This window comes from Homo sapiens, chromosome 18, assembly GCF_000001405.40.
Source record: "Homo sapiens chromosome 18, GRCh38.p14 Primary Assembly".
NCBI lineage: Eukaryota > Metazoa > Chordata > Mammalia > Primates > Hominidae > Homo > Homo sapiens.
In genome coordinates this window covers 74,254,674-74,268,903 of record NC_000018.10, presented here as the reverse complement: position 1 = coordinate 74,268,903, position 14,230 = coordinate 74,254,674, and the positions used below count along the sequence as shown (strand labels likewise).

Below are 14,230 nucleotides of genomic sequence, written 5' to 3'. Positions count from 1 at the left end.
GAGATTTCGCAAAAGCCTGTGGGAGGCATTAGGAGCTACAAGATATGTGGGCACGATGAGTGAGTTCCAGTAAGTGGTTTAGCCCTAAACCTGGTCTCTCTGCCTGACACCTGTTCTCAGCATTTGGCCCCATCTTCCATTCAGTTGTGCAAACCAAACATTGGCTCCAGTGGCACTTCCTGTCTCTCCCACCATCCTTACCGTCCGGAAGCCCTCTCGTCCACTCTGCCTCACACCATGCACACCCTTGCACCTGCAGCTGCCCCCACCCTACCCTCTGGAGTGGCTGCAGAGAACAGCCTTCCCTCACCCTCTCTTGCCCTTTTGTCTGCTGTCCACTCTGAAGCCTGGGTTATATTTTAAAATTAAATCTGATCGCGTTACCTCCCCCACTTAGATCCTTACCATGGCCTCTCTCATTGCTCACAGGACAAAGATCAGAATCCTTGGAGAGGCGCAAAAGCAGCACACGGCCTGGCCCTTTCTCCTACCCTGGGGCCCTGTGAGGCCTTCTCTCCCAGGTCCTGAATTCGCTGTTCCCCGCCCCTGCAACACCTTCCCCAGACACCTCTTGGCCCTTGTTGACTGCAGCTCCCACCTTGTGGTACAGCTCAGCAGGGCCCGTCCTGACCCCTTTGTGTGGGTGACATTCCTGTGTCATATTCTTCATGGCACTAAACTCTTTCACCTGAGGACATTTCCTTTCACTTGCAGTGGCATGGTCATAGTTATTCATGTTTCATCTCTCCGGCTGTGAACTCCCCGAGGCGGGAGCCGTCGCTATCTTGGCTCCGACTGTGGCTGCCACGTGGAGACGTTCATGTGTGTTTGTTGGGTGAATTAACTCAAGTGCATAATAACAAAAACAAATGGAAATCTTCCTCTGGAAAGACGGAAGACCGTTAGGGTCAGCTCACGTGGAAACAGCTTTGCATCTCCATGCCCATCCCCACTTCTGGGTCCTCCTTACTGACCCGCGACATCCTCTCCCCACCTTTCTCCCTCTCTCTGGGCACTACAGCTGGTCACTTCCCACACATGGTCGCATGAGTAGAGGCTTAGCAAGGAGTGCGTTATGGAGGACAGATTTCTGCTACTGACTTCGCCGAAGTGGATCCACAGCTTCCATTTGGCTCAGGCTCTTTGGGAGAATTTCACTTCTTTTGTTACCTCTAATCTTACCTATGTGTAACCACACATTTTGGTCTTTTTCTTAAATCTTTTAGATAATCATCAGATAAGTTTACTTACCTGTTATTCTACTACTTTCTGCCTTGCCTTTTCTTCAGGCCACCCCCAAGTGCTATAACCTGCCCAAAGGTTAGGACATAACACCGCTGCCACACGTTTATCTCTGGGCATAACCACGATGGCATAAACACCAGCATTCCCAATTTTTCTTTGTCTCTTCGGAATGCTGACAGGCAAAGAAGAGCATTTTCTTTAGTCTCCAAATGTGTGGCTCACGCCTGTAATCCCAACACTTTGTGAGGCCGAGGCAGGTGGATTACCTGAGGTCAGGAGTTCAAGACCAGCCTGACCAATCTGGTGAAATCCCGTCTCTACTAAAAATACAAAAATTAGCCGGGTGTGGTGGCAGGAGCCTGTAGTCCCAGCTACTCCAGAGGCTGAGACAGGAGAATTGCTTGAACCTGGGAGGCGGAGGTTGCAGTGAGCTGAAATTGCGTCACTGCACTCCAGCCTGGGTGACACAGCGAGACTCCGTCTCAAAAAAAAAAAAAGTGATGTGTGCTTATTAAAATTGCTGCATGTATTTACTAACAAGAGTGAGAAGATTGACAAGTTTCAAAACATGATTTAGATTCAGTTTACTTGGCCAAGTGTCTCTCTCTCTCTCTCCGTAATACATATATTTCAAGGAAAATATTAGATATTACAAAAAGCCACCCTCATCTTTTACTGTCTTATCAAGATGAGTTATTTTTTCCAAAATATCAATTTTTAGGATTTGATTTTCCTACCAATTATTAAGATAGACCTTTAGGATGGAGTGAAAATATTTTAGTATCAGTTAGTTTATTCTAAGCTATGTTTTTTTTTTTTTTAGTTTTTTAAATCTTTAAAATTTTACATGAGTTATCAGTGAAACCAATATAATCCAAGATGTTTCTCTCTCTCTCTTTTTTTTTTTTGTTAGAAAATTGCCCCACAAATGGTTTAGGCAAGGTAAAAACCAGAGGTCGATAGGTAGATTCATACATACCTATCCCTTGTTGCTGTTCTTGGTCAAAAATTAAGGTGAGGAGTTGCCCTGTTGTACTTCTGTTTCAGATTAAGACTGTGGAATTACCCCATGAAATTGAATGTGTATTTTCTCCATTTTAGCACTGTAAAGATCAGAATTCTGTATCTAAAAACTTGTCTAAGTCTGCAATTCTTTATAAAGGGCCAAGTCCATGTTTTTAACCTCACTCGAAGTCGTCCTTTGAACATCGGCTGTCCCTGGCAAATAATGATTGACTCTGGGCGATTTGTCTCCACTGACATATCCTTAACAGGAATCAAAAGTTACGGCAGCTCCTGAGTTCAGCGGTCCCTACGCGAGTAACAGCAGTCTGTGAGTTTACATAGTTGTGGGTCCTGGCTGAGTCATTTTATATCTCACCATGTGGCTTCTCTCTACTCAGTAGGTGAGTGGAAGTGTCCAACCTTAAGCAGACTTTTCTGGAATCAACAAAACCATGTTTTTATTGCTGCAGCCTTGGCGAGGAATCCAGAAGTTTCGGGTTGGCTTTGAGGTAGCCATTCTGTTGTCTGCACATCTAACGTGCATTCCCATGCCTGTTTAAGGTGGACTTTTAATAATCTAAATGGCCCCAGTAGAAGACATTTCAGTAAATTGGGGAATGCCTATACAATGTAACAGCATGTAGCCATGTCAAAGTCCCGTTGAGGAAGAATACTTAGTGACTGACATGGTTTGCACCTGTTCCCTCCAAACCTCATGTTGAAATGTGGCCTCCAGGGTTGGAGGTGGGCCTAGCAGGAATGTTTAGGTCATGGGGGCAGATCCCTTATGAATGGCTTTGTGTCGTCCTCACAGTAGTGAGTGACTTCTCACTTTGTTAGTTCAGGCAGAGTTGGTTGTTTAAAGAGCCTGGGACCACCTCCTCTCTCGCCATGAGATGTGTGGGCTCCCCCGGGCCTTCCACTGTGCGTAAAAGCTTCCCGAGGCCTCACCAGAGGCCGAGCAGATGATGGTGCCGTGCTTGTACAGGCTGCAGAACTGAGAGCCAAAGTAACCCCTGTTTTCTTTGTAAATGATCCAGTCTCAGGTATTTCTTCATAGCAGTACAAAACAGACTAACATAGAGACACTGGAAAGTGTTTAATAAAAATGCTGGGTAATAGTTACTGAGCATAAACGATGTGCCAGACACATATGTTCATAGATTTCATCCTCAAAAACTACATGCGTGTTTTCCCAAGTTCACAGAGTGAGTGGTAACCACTAGGCACCTCTGCCTCTGTACCATGTATCACCTCCTTTTTATTTTCTAAAACAATGCATAGGATAACCATCACAGTTTCTATCCAACATTACATACACATACGTGTGTGTGTATGTCTGGCTCTCTGGAGGCAAGATGATGGGTGATTTTAATTTTTTTCTTTGTGCTTCCCAGTTTTTCTGCAGCATAGATGGATAAATGTTATAAAAAGAAAAAAAAAGAGTGGATGTCCTTAGCACTAGGTATGTTTAGACCAAGTAGGAAGAGAAACAGTTTCAAATCAGAATAATGATCCACCTTCCTACAATGTGATGTGCCCTGATGTCTTCATTACTGGGAGAAATTAAGGACTGACCACAGTCGACTCTGCAAGGGAGACCGGTTTTTGTGCAGTTGTTGGACACTTGCAGGTGACTTGCTCAAGGTCAGGATGAATCTAAAATAACATTCAAGCTCAGTTAAAGAAGTTTTTTTTTTTCCTACAAAAGTACGTATTTAGGATGCTTTGCCCAAGCTCCGCTTTCTTTTTTATTACTCTGAGAGCTGCTTCCCTTGCCTGAGAATCCCCAGACCTCCTTACCTCTGTCCTGTGACTAATCCCCACTTGTCAATCATCTTGGAGAAAAAATTTCCCTCCCTGCATCATGACCATCCTTGTTTCACATATTAAAGCAGCTGAAAGCACTAAAACTCTTTTATTCCACAAGAGGCTCTTCCCGCCTCTCCCCAGTGTGGAGTTGAACCCCTGCCTCCGTGCCTCCATTGTGTCCTGGCAGCACTGTGTCCTGGTGGCAGCATCTTCAGCAAGTTACTTGTTTTGTTTTGTTTTTACCTACCAGAAAGTGAGTTCTGCAAAGGCAGGGACTCATCTATCTGACAGTCTGTGCTGCCCGTGCATTGCCGGCACGCAGGGTGCTTTCCAGAGGGAAGTGACACACGTGCCTCTTGTGAATCGTCATCTTAGGCATGCCAGCTCTTGAGGCCACACTTAGACTAAGATGTCAGAGAAGTCAGTCTCAGGTGCAGGAGTCAAGAAAAAATAGATTGGGTAGAGAATAAGAGCAATTTTGAGAGCCTGATGGAAAAACCAAGCAGACATTACCAAAGGATGAAGGACACGAGCCTCATGCTTTTACTAAGCTGTATGAGTGACATGGGGAAGCAACTTATGTTGTTAGTGAAAGGTTCTTTCTTTCTCGCTCTCTTTTTTTTTTTTTTTTGAGACAGAGTCTCACTTTGTTGCCTAGGCTGGAGTGCAGTGGCGCAATCTCAGCTCACTGCAACCTCGGCCTCCTGGATTCAAGCGATTCTCAAGACTCAGCCTCCTGAATAGCTGGGACTACAGGTGCCCGCCACCACGGCTGGCTAATTTTTGTATTTTTTGTAGAGATGGGGTTTCGCCATGTAGGCCAGGTTGGTCTCGAACTCCTGAACTCAAGTGATCTGCCTAGGATTACAGGCGTGAGCTACCGTGCCCGGCCGGGAAAGGTTGTTTTTAAATTTTTTTTTACTTTTATCTTTTTGAGGGTCTCCCTCTGTTACCCAGGCTGGAGTGCAGTGGTGCAGTCACTGCTCACTGAAGCCTCAGCCCCTTGAGCTTGTGCCATCCTCCCACCTCAGCCTCTCATGTATCTGGGACTGCAGGGGCATGCCACCGTGCCCAGCTAATTTTTTAAAATTGTATTTTATAGTTATGGGGTCTCACAATGTTGCCCAGGTTGGCTTTGAACTTGGGCCCAAGTGATTCTGCTGCCTAGGCCTATTGTACTTGCATGATGGAAATGGAATATAAAGGCCTGTGTTGTTTTAATCCACATTTATGGACAAGTTAGTCTCCTGTTGTCATCTGTGTCTTCTGAAGGAGTCACCTGTTTGGTTAAATAAATTCTGGCCGTTTTCTCTTAATTCATTTGCCTGAAAAAAAAATTTTTATTCTACCTCTCCTTTGAACAGCATCCTGGTGGGGAAGAAGTTTTAAGGGAACAAGCTGGAGGTGACGCTACTGAGAACTTTGAGGATGTCGGGCACTCTACAGATGCCAGGGAAATGTCCAAAACATTCATCATTGGGGAGCTCCATCCAGTAAGTACATTTTGGGGGCCCTTTCTTATTTGTATTTAAGGCTATCAGATGACCTTACCCTAGTCTGTAAGCTTGCATGTATACACATTTTAAAAGGAGTAAAGCAAAAACAACTCCTGATTTTAGGACACCATTTTTTGTTATAAATAAATTGACCAAAAATGTCTTTGCATTTCACTGTTGCTTTTTTTTTTTTTTTTTTGAGACAGGTCTTACTCTGTCACCCAGGCTGGAGTGCAGTGGCACGATCATGGCTCCCTGCAGCCTCAACCTCCTGGGCTCAAGCCATCCTCCTGCCTCAGCCTCTTGGTAGCTGGGACTACAGGCACACACCTCCACGCCTGATAAATTTCATAGTTTTTGTAGAGACGGGGTTTCACCGTGTTGCCCAGGCTGGTCTCAAACTCCTGGACTCAAGCGATCCACCCACCTCGGCCTCTCAAAGTGTTGGGATTACAGGCGTGAGCCCCCACACCTGGCCTGGTTGCATTGTTTACTGGCACTTCGTTTTAGTCAGCAGGCTCCACCCCACAGCCATGCACTGGGGAGTCTGCTCAGTCCTAGAAATTCCATGGGGCAGCACGTTTTACAAGGTGGGGAGAATCAACCCAGCATTGCTTTCTTTCCTTTTCTGACCAAAATATTTTTATTAAGAACCCCACTTCTACTTTCATTAGGCCAAGGATATTTTAGTTCTAAAAAATGATTTAAAAAATATAAAAACGGAGCTATGTGAAATGAATAAGCTCTGCCTTCTGTAGAACTAGCACATTGTCCATATTCTACTCACTGTACCCCAGACCTTCGAGAATATCAGCTCTGGACCAATTCATTGACCAACTTTTGGAAAACACTGGCCTAATTTGGCTTTTCTTTTCTTTTTTTTTTTTTTTGAGACAGAGTCTTGCTCTGTTGCCCAGGCTGGAGTGCAGTGGCGCGATCTCGGCCCACTGCAACCTCCACCTCCTGGGTTCAAGCAATTCTCCTGCCTTAGCCTCCCAAGTATCTGGGATTACAGGCACAGGCCACCATGCCTGGCCAATTGTTTTGTATTTTTAGTAGAGATGGGGTTTCGCCATGTTGGCCAGGTTGGCCTTGTACTCCTGACCTCAGGTAATCCACCTACCTAGGCCTCCCAGAGTGCTAGGATTACAGGTGTGAGTCACCGCACCTAGTCCTAATTTGGCTTTTCTATAAACACTGTGCTGTGTTACGGTTTTAGACCCCTCTGTGGCAGTTGTAAATGACCATGTTAAATGTTACTAGTCTGTCAACCTAAGTTATCAGGAAAATCGCTGAAAACTTGGAAAGAAGTTGCCGAGCGCTCTGAGCTTCTGGAGTGGATCCTGGGGCCGCACACTCAGCTGCCCTGTCCACCTCTGGGAGTGCCTGGCTCCGTCCTGCCTTCCCACTTGTGGTGCATGGTTAGCAGCCCGCCAGAAGGGGACAAAGACCTGCTAGGAGCCCGCTCTGCTCTCGTAAGAAAAAAATGGAGAGGCAAATAGCCTCATTCTAAGTGAGCAAACTGAGAAACTCTTAAAGAATATAGGAAAAGTCTTATCGTATACCACTGATGATCCCTGTAATGACTGTGAATGAAGAAGAGGTTACATTAGGTTCTTTGTAGAAGGCTCGAAAGTAGGAAATCCATTTGAGAACAACTTCATTGAGTTGGGAGGTTTGTTTGATTTTGTTTTTGGTGGTAGGAGATATGTACTTTGAGGGAGTAAGCTTCATTCATCTGACAAGTTTATTTGCCCCGATATTTTCATCCCATACTTCACAAAGGCAAAGTGTCTTAGGGTCATCAGGGAGGCCTGCCGTTACACATGCCTGATCCCATCCTTGTTTCCAGCTGTGGGTCAGGTTTCAGGCCCTGACTGTGGCACTTCTGCTTCACCTGCCCACTGGGCTTCCCCCTGGCCAGCCTTTAAACACACTGTATTTTTGACAGCTTCAGCCTGAAGTTGAAATAGTTTATGACTCTAAAACTGGGAGACTGCAGGGCTTAACTGAAGATATCATACACGTAAGAGATACATGCACAATCTCAAATGGAATTTGAGAGGACAGAAGGGAAGAATCAGTCTTCAGCTCCTCCCTGAATTACGTGTCGCAATCTGAGTCTAATAAATGTGTGTGCACATCAGCATGTACAGAGAGCTGTCATGGGTGCTGTTCGAAACTTTGGAACTCTAGATAGAAAATATCTCTTGGCACTTAATCTGCTACTAATTTTTGCTGTTAAATCAGATGGATCAAACTTTGTGTTTAATAGCTAAATGTTGAATCTGAAATGGTAATTACTGAATTATAATTTTAAAAAGTCTCAAAGTCAGCATTTTGGAAGTGGTACTTTCATAGATTTTTAAATTCCATAATGTGCCTTATCTTTTCATTGCAGGATGACAGACCAAAGTTAAACAAGCCTCCGGTAAGTGTGACCATCTCAAGTATCTCTGGATGTTCTCGTTGTATTTAATACTTGTCAAACTGAAGGCAGAGGGTTTTTATTTACCTGACTGATGCCAGCACAGGTCTTTCTAGATAAATGAATATGTAACCTACTGGCTCAGCAAGTATTTTTTATTTACGGAAACCTGTCAGTATGATTTGTTAGGATGGCGTGTGTGTAATTTTTTTAAGGCTGTCAGTAAACTACTTTTTTCATCATAATTATCAATATATACCATTTGAAGAGCTACTTTTTATGGTAGCACGTGCTTCTGATCTAAAAGATTTGACACAAGCCTTATTTTCAGAGAACTTAAAATCTGAATGGATAGTGGTTTTATTACTTAAATCTTTAAGGGTGTGTCTCATGTCTTCTTCATCTTTAAGTCTCTTGGGCATAGTAGGTGTTCAATAAATACTTGTCAGATGAATTTAATGAAATTAAATAATACCCTTTTGACTTACTTTTCCTTGGGAAAGGAAAATAACTCTGGCAATACTAGTTTTATGTTCTGATTCACTAGCCTTTCTCTCTGAACTGACCATCTCACTTATATTTGAAGATAAATGTAGGGTGAGAATGGAAGAGCACAGCCTAAGTTCCTGAAAAGTACAAGTAGGCAAAATAGTTTCTAGTGTCTAATTAAAGGACTACAGGGGAAAGTTTTGCTTAAATCAAATGACAAAAAAGAAAGTATAATTTTTCGTTTTGGTGTAAATTCTTGGTTTCATTAGAGAAAGTGCAACAGCAAGACCCCACTGAGCTTGTGTCGAGAACTGGTGAGCTGATTTTTTGAGCTGTTGCTGCCAAGACATCATCTTTAATCTACAAAAGGATCAAAGCAGTTAATCCAATAATATAAGCATAAAGGCCACATTTACCTCAACATCCCTGATAGTACAATAAAAGTCTTGTGTAATACTATTTAGTACAAAGCAATTTTTTTTATATTCTCTCCTTATTCAAGAAAGACTTAAGTTCAATGTGAATGATATGAGTACTTCCAGGAGATAAAAAGTTGACTTCAGAATTTCAATGGCCTCTGTGACAATTGCTTAGAATCCTTGCTGTGAGTTCATTTGACTTTAGCATCTTTTTTGAGGCTACTTTTTGGACAGCTGAAATTCTGTGTTGCATAAAGTTTTTCCTTTTTCTCTGAAGTCTCTTAAGGGAAGAATATATATTTTTTTTATCATGTGTTCAGCATGTTAATCATTTTGGTATAAGTCATTTAGCTATAGCAAAACAAAGGTTTAAGATTCATTAGATGAACTTAGATGACCGCAGGGCCAGCCGTCTCGCTAACCATAAAGACTACAAGCAGAAAACACTTGTAGGTGTAAGATTGTACATGTGTCTCCTGCCATAACTACTTTCAGTTTAAAGGACAAAGACTTTCTTCCTTATTTGCTTTTAGAACACGTGTATTACAGCCTATACTCTGTTGGATTAATTGCCCATTACTATTTATTGTTCTTATTTTCTATTTTAAAGTGGCAGTTACTTTGATACTGAGAATATTTTGGGAACAGAGCAAGTTTATGTGGTAAATTCTGGGACTTTAGCTTTTAGTATCAAAGAAAGCTTTCCTGACAACATTGAGGCACAGCCCTTTGTGCGTTAAGACATGGCTTACTTCATTCCAGCATTAGCAGTTGATACTTGATCAGCTTGTTAGATGTAGAAGGTCTCACTGAAGTTTGAGAATCACACTAACTTTTTAAAGTAGATTTTTGTTTGTTTGTTTTTGAGACGGAATTTTGCTCTTGTCACCCAGGCTGGAGTGCAATGGCGTGATCTCGGCTCACTGCAACATCCACCTGCTGGGTTCAAGCAATTCTCCTGCCTCAGCCTCCCGAGTAGCTGGGATTACAGGTGCCTGCCACCATGCCCAGCTAATTTTTGTATTTTTAGTAGAGATGGGGTTTCACCATTGTTGGCCAGGCTTGTCTTGAACTCCTGACCTCAGGCATTCGCCTGCTTCAGCCTCCCAAAATGCCGAGATTACAGGTGTGAGCCACGGCACCCAGCCTAAAGTAGATGTTTTTACTCTCTTCAGAGATTTTACAGATTAACTAACTTCTGAGTATTTTTTAAACAACTCTTCTTTATTGTGACTTTGCTTCAGTGAGAGCAGAACCGGAAGAATGTGGGACAAGAACTTGCTGGCCTTTTTGAGAGGCCATAAGCAGATGAAATGAAAGGAAATACATGAGCATTTTTCTGGATGTATCTTTCTTGTGCTTTTGGTTTAGTGGAAGTAAAGAGTGTCCTTAGGGATTTCTTTTGTCATGTGTCTGTATAACCATCGGCCGATCTCCAGGTTGAAGAATGTACACTGTGGTCTAAAGTTTTGAGATGTTGCCTGCTTAAAATATCTAGTTGAATAGTGAAATAAAATGCAGTAAAGATTATTAGCTTGAACCTGCCCTAAGGAAAGCATAGTGTTAAGTTACCAAATTAAGATATTTGTAGACTTAGAAATCATGCATTTTAATCTAACATAAATGTTTCTATCACATTTGCTTACATAGAGAATATTAGTCGTAGCAATACCCCTTCTTGGTTATAGTTTTGAAAGCATTCTTGTAGAAGTTATTTGGTCCTCACAGTGTCTCCATGTTAGACCTGCCAAGGGAGGTAGGTACATTGCAGCTGGGAAGTGTTAAGCACCCGGCTCACAGACGTGCTCCAGAACCATCTAGCACCCATCTCAGGCTGGTCAGTTGCAGTCCCTTAAGCTTCTCCTCTAGGTTCTGGGCTTGCCGTGTTAGACATCACTCTGTCAGTATTTTAAGGGAGATAGGCTTCCCACTAAAGTTTACGTTAGATGAACTTATAAATGAGATGACTCTGATTCACAAAAGCTTGTTGGGCTTTGCATGCTTTTCATAATTTATGGAGCTTACTGTAATTTACACTGATTCACATGACTTTTATAAGTCATTATGCATGACATACTTATTTTACTTTTTTGAGACGGGGTCTCACTCTGTTGCCCAGGCTGCAATGCAGCGGCATGGATCTGGACTCACTGCACCATCCACCTCCCGGGGTCAAGCAATCCTCCCACCTCAGCCTCCCGAGTAGCTGGACCATAGGCACACAGCACTGTGCCCAGCTAATTTTTGTATTTTTCTGTAGAGACAGGGTTTCACCATGTTGCCCAGACTGGTCTCGAACTGCTGGACTCAAGCAACCCGCCAATCTCGGCCTCCCAAAGTGCTGGGATTACAGGCCTGAGCCACCATGCCCAGACTTTGACACACTGATTTAATTGTTAACCTCTTTTTACTGAAGTTGAACCTCGAAGTCATGGAGTGAACAGGTGGCAGAGCCAATCATAAAAACCATATTCTTTCTCCTTGTTCATTGCTGACATTCTTTGATAGTCACGTCCCTAAACCCAAGTGAGGCCCTCAGAGCACTGACCACTAAAGACCAATTACTTTTCCATCAAAGTGCAAAGTGGTAATTCAAACTTCCTTTAACTGTCAAGCATCCTGGGCTACAGAGCCAAGAAGATAATCAACAATCAAAAGGTGATACGATTATTTCAAGTTCCCCTCTTTAGAGTTCATGGCTGTTGCTGATGATGCTGGTGCCAGAGTAGTGTTTTAACCTTAGCGCTCTCCCATGGTAACCACAAAGGCAGCAGGAGGGCAGGTGGGAGGTTCCAGAGTTGTCAGCACGTTGGTGAAATGCCTGCCCTCATTTTAACGACGCCGTGGATGTTTGTGTTTGCCTTCCGTTGGCTGTTTCAAACTTAACTTTCTAGTTTGACAATCATATTTTACCTTCAGTGATTCTTTTGTTTCAGAACTGATTGTGTCCTCTAATAGCTAACTAATATTTTTGTATATTTTGATTATTTCTAGTAATTTTTGTTAATTTTATTCATATATACACAATTTGGAAAATCCTCTTGCTGTAGTTATGAATACTTTTTATAGATGCTAAGATTTTAAAATTGCTGGAATAGATAATAAATTTGCAATTTTATTTTTAAATGACTTACCTTTTTTCCCCTACTGTGTCAGGAACCTTAAAGGCGGTGTTTCAAGGTTGGTGGGTCTCATAACTGCTTTGCTTGCTTTTCCCTGAAAGGGGTCTGTCTTTTCACGGGAGTTTCTCTAACGTGCTTTGCAGAGTGATGCTTGCCTTACTGCAGGCCGCTGATTGTTTTGCTAATGCTTTTTATCTTTGCTTTGGGAAACTGCAGATCTGAAGCTGTCTTATTTATGGCAACTTCTGTTTGAGGCCCTAATGCTTATGTTGGTGTGGAACATCAAAAGAATGCTTCTTAACCCATTTTCAAGCCCCAAAAAGTTGATATTTCACTAGACCTTAGCTTTTCAGCTGTTGGAGAAGTATGCGTTTTTCCAGAACCATTGTCCATTCACTTTAGTGCTACTCAAAAGAGCTGCTCCCAGAAAGCTCTGGAGGATAAAAACAGGGCTTCCTTATCTGGGGATTTGCTGTTAGGCTGACAGTGACCAGCTGGTGACAAGTGTGACGCCGGGCACAGCAGTCCTGTGAGGCTGGTCTGGTGTCTTGCTGGTTCCGTCTGGTCAGAATTAAAGCAGCCCCCCGGGAAAGTTGGCCTAGAATGTAGAACTTAAAATGGCAGTCCTCTTTTTTCTTTTTGGTTCACATATATTTAATGTAATTTAGGTACACTTTTTTACATCTGTCAGATTTGAATGAAATAACTGATGTTTTTATTGAACATTGTGTTCATGCTTTTGAAGAATTAAACTGCTTTTTCTAAAGGTGACGTGGGATTGTGTGTATGTGAACATGAATGTCTGTTTTCAGTTTCTGCATTATTTAGATGCCTAGCGTGTGCAAGATATTTTATGTAGCATATTAATTTTGAATGTTTTTAAATTATTGAGGTTATGTCCTTAAGTAAATATAATGATTAAAATGTTTTACTCTGGAAGAAAACAAAGTTAGGCATTTTAGTGAAAAGAAGTTTATAATTTTCCCTTTCGACATCTTCTGAAGAATGCATTGCATAAAATATTGTGTTCTTATTTTCAAACAGGATTTTAGTCAATGAAATAAGTTCAGCATTCCCTTGAACTTACTTTACTTTTTCCTCTCGTGTTTCAGGAAACTCTTATCACTACTATTGATTCTAGTTCCAGGTATGTGGTAGCTTTCTTTTAAAGCAGTAGTGGGTGGGAGGGCTCATGGGTCCAGGTTGGACAAGGTGCGTCCCCCACCTTCTGGGTTCCTGGGCCTGACACTGTGCTGTCTCAGCAACCTTCTGCTGAAGGCCAGACTGTTCAGAGCACTCAGCCTCAAACTTTCAGGTAGCCGACTGTGAACACTGTCCACAGCCACGTGATCTAGCTGGCTGGCTGCATCCACCCCAAGGAACAAACAGAACAATTGCATTTCCTTTTCCCCCAGGGCAGCATCTTAGGCGGCCAGTCCCACAGCACCTCCCTGGCTCATCCAAGCAGACATTTCCTTCCTTTCAATCCATGTCTGTTTCTTAAACTCTAGTGATTACATTTCCCTAAACATGGGTCAGTTTTCCTTTGTCATTTTTATTAGCTTTAAAGTTGAAGCTGGTAATCTATGTGTAGCACGACTCAATTGTTCTAGGCACCAGATTTGTTTATGATAGTCCAAGTGCACATTAACATCTTTGGCAGCTCTACCATATTGACTTCAGTAGTAGCCACTTTTTTGGACCCAAGCTCAAAACCACACATTTGTATTTCATCCTGTCAAATTTAACTGCCTCAGTCCGTTGGTGTTCTGGAATATTCCCTGCCTGCAGGCAGTATTTCACCTTACTCTTCATTAACAAGCCAGTTTCTTTCTAAAGTGAAATTGAAAAACCCCACCAAACCCCACTAAGACAAAAGTTACACTTGTAATTCTTATGAAAGTTTCACTTGTAATCCTTATGAAAGGATTATACTTGTAGTCCCTATGAAACACATATGTATACCAAGTCTATTTCTAAAGCCTACACATTAATTTCCATTTTTCTAAGAAATTAAGTCAAAGATCAAAATCTAAAGATTCAAATCTAATTTAAAGATTCAAATAGAGGCCAGGCGCGGTGGCTCACGCCTGTAATCCCAGCACTTTGGGAGGCCGAGGCAGGTGGATCACGAGGTCAGGAGATCGAGACCATCCTGGCTAACACAGTGAAACCCTGTCTCTACTAAAAATACAAAAAAATTAGCCGGGCATG

At 42.5% G+C, this 14,230-nt stretch overlaps 1 protein-coding gene across 4 annotated transcripts in view, besides 1 other annotated feature; it reads left to right on the top strand.

Moving 5' to 3' along the window:
- Nucleotides 1-14,230, top strand: part of CYB5A (cytochrome b5 type A) — a 41,118-nt gene that overhangs the window by 23,060 nt on the left and 3,828 nt on the right. Inside the window, exons 2-5 of one of the 4 annotated variants that reach the window (NM_001914.4) lie at nucleotides 5,427-5,555; nucleotides 7,960-7,989; nucleotides 12,051-12,074; nucleotides 13,129-13,163. In NM_001914.4, the coding sequence (NP_001905.1) occupies nucleotides 5,427-5,555; nucleotides 7,960-7,989; nucleotides 12,051-12,059 (168 nt within the window). In that variant the 3' untranslated portion in view covers nucleotides 12,060-12,074; nucleotides 13,129-13,163. Of the gene's footprint in view, nucleotides 1-5,426; nucleotides 5,556-7,959; nucleotides 7,990-12,050; nucleotides 12,966-13,128; nucleotides 13,164-14,230 lie in introns of those variants that run through there. The other 3 variants (NM_148923.4, XM_011525835.3, NM_001190807.3) reach the window with 3 other exon arrangements.
- Nucleotides 507-1,047: an enhancer, noted in NCBI's record as "H3K27ac-H3K4me1 hESC enhancer chr18:71935092-71935632 (GRCh37/hg19 assembly coordinates)". NCBI's record gives its function as "activates a minimal SCP1, AML or CMV promoter by ChIP-STARR-seq in primed H9 embryonic stem cells {active_cell/tissue: H9 hESC(primed)}" and the evidence as "EXISTENCE:reporter gene assay evidence [ECO:0000049][PMID:30033119]".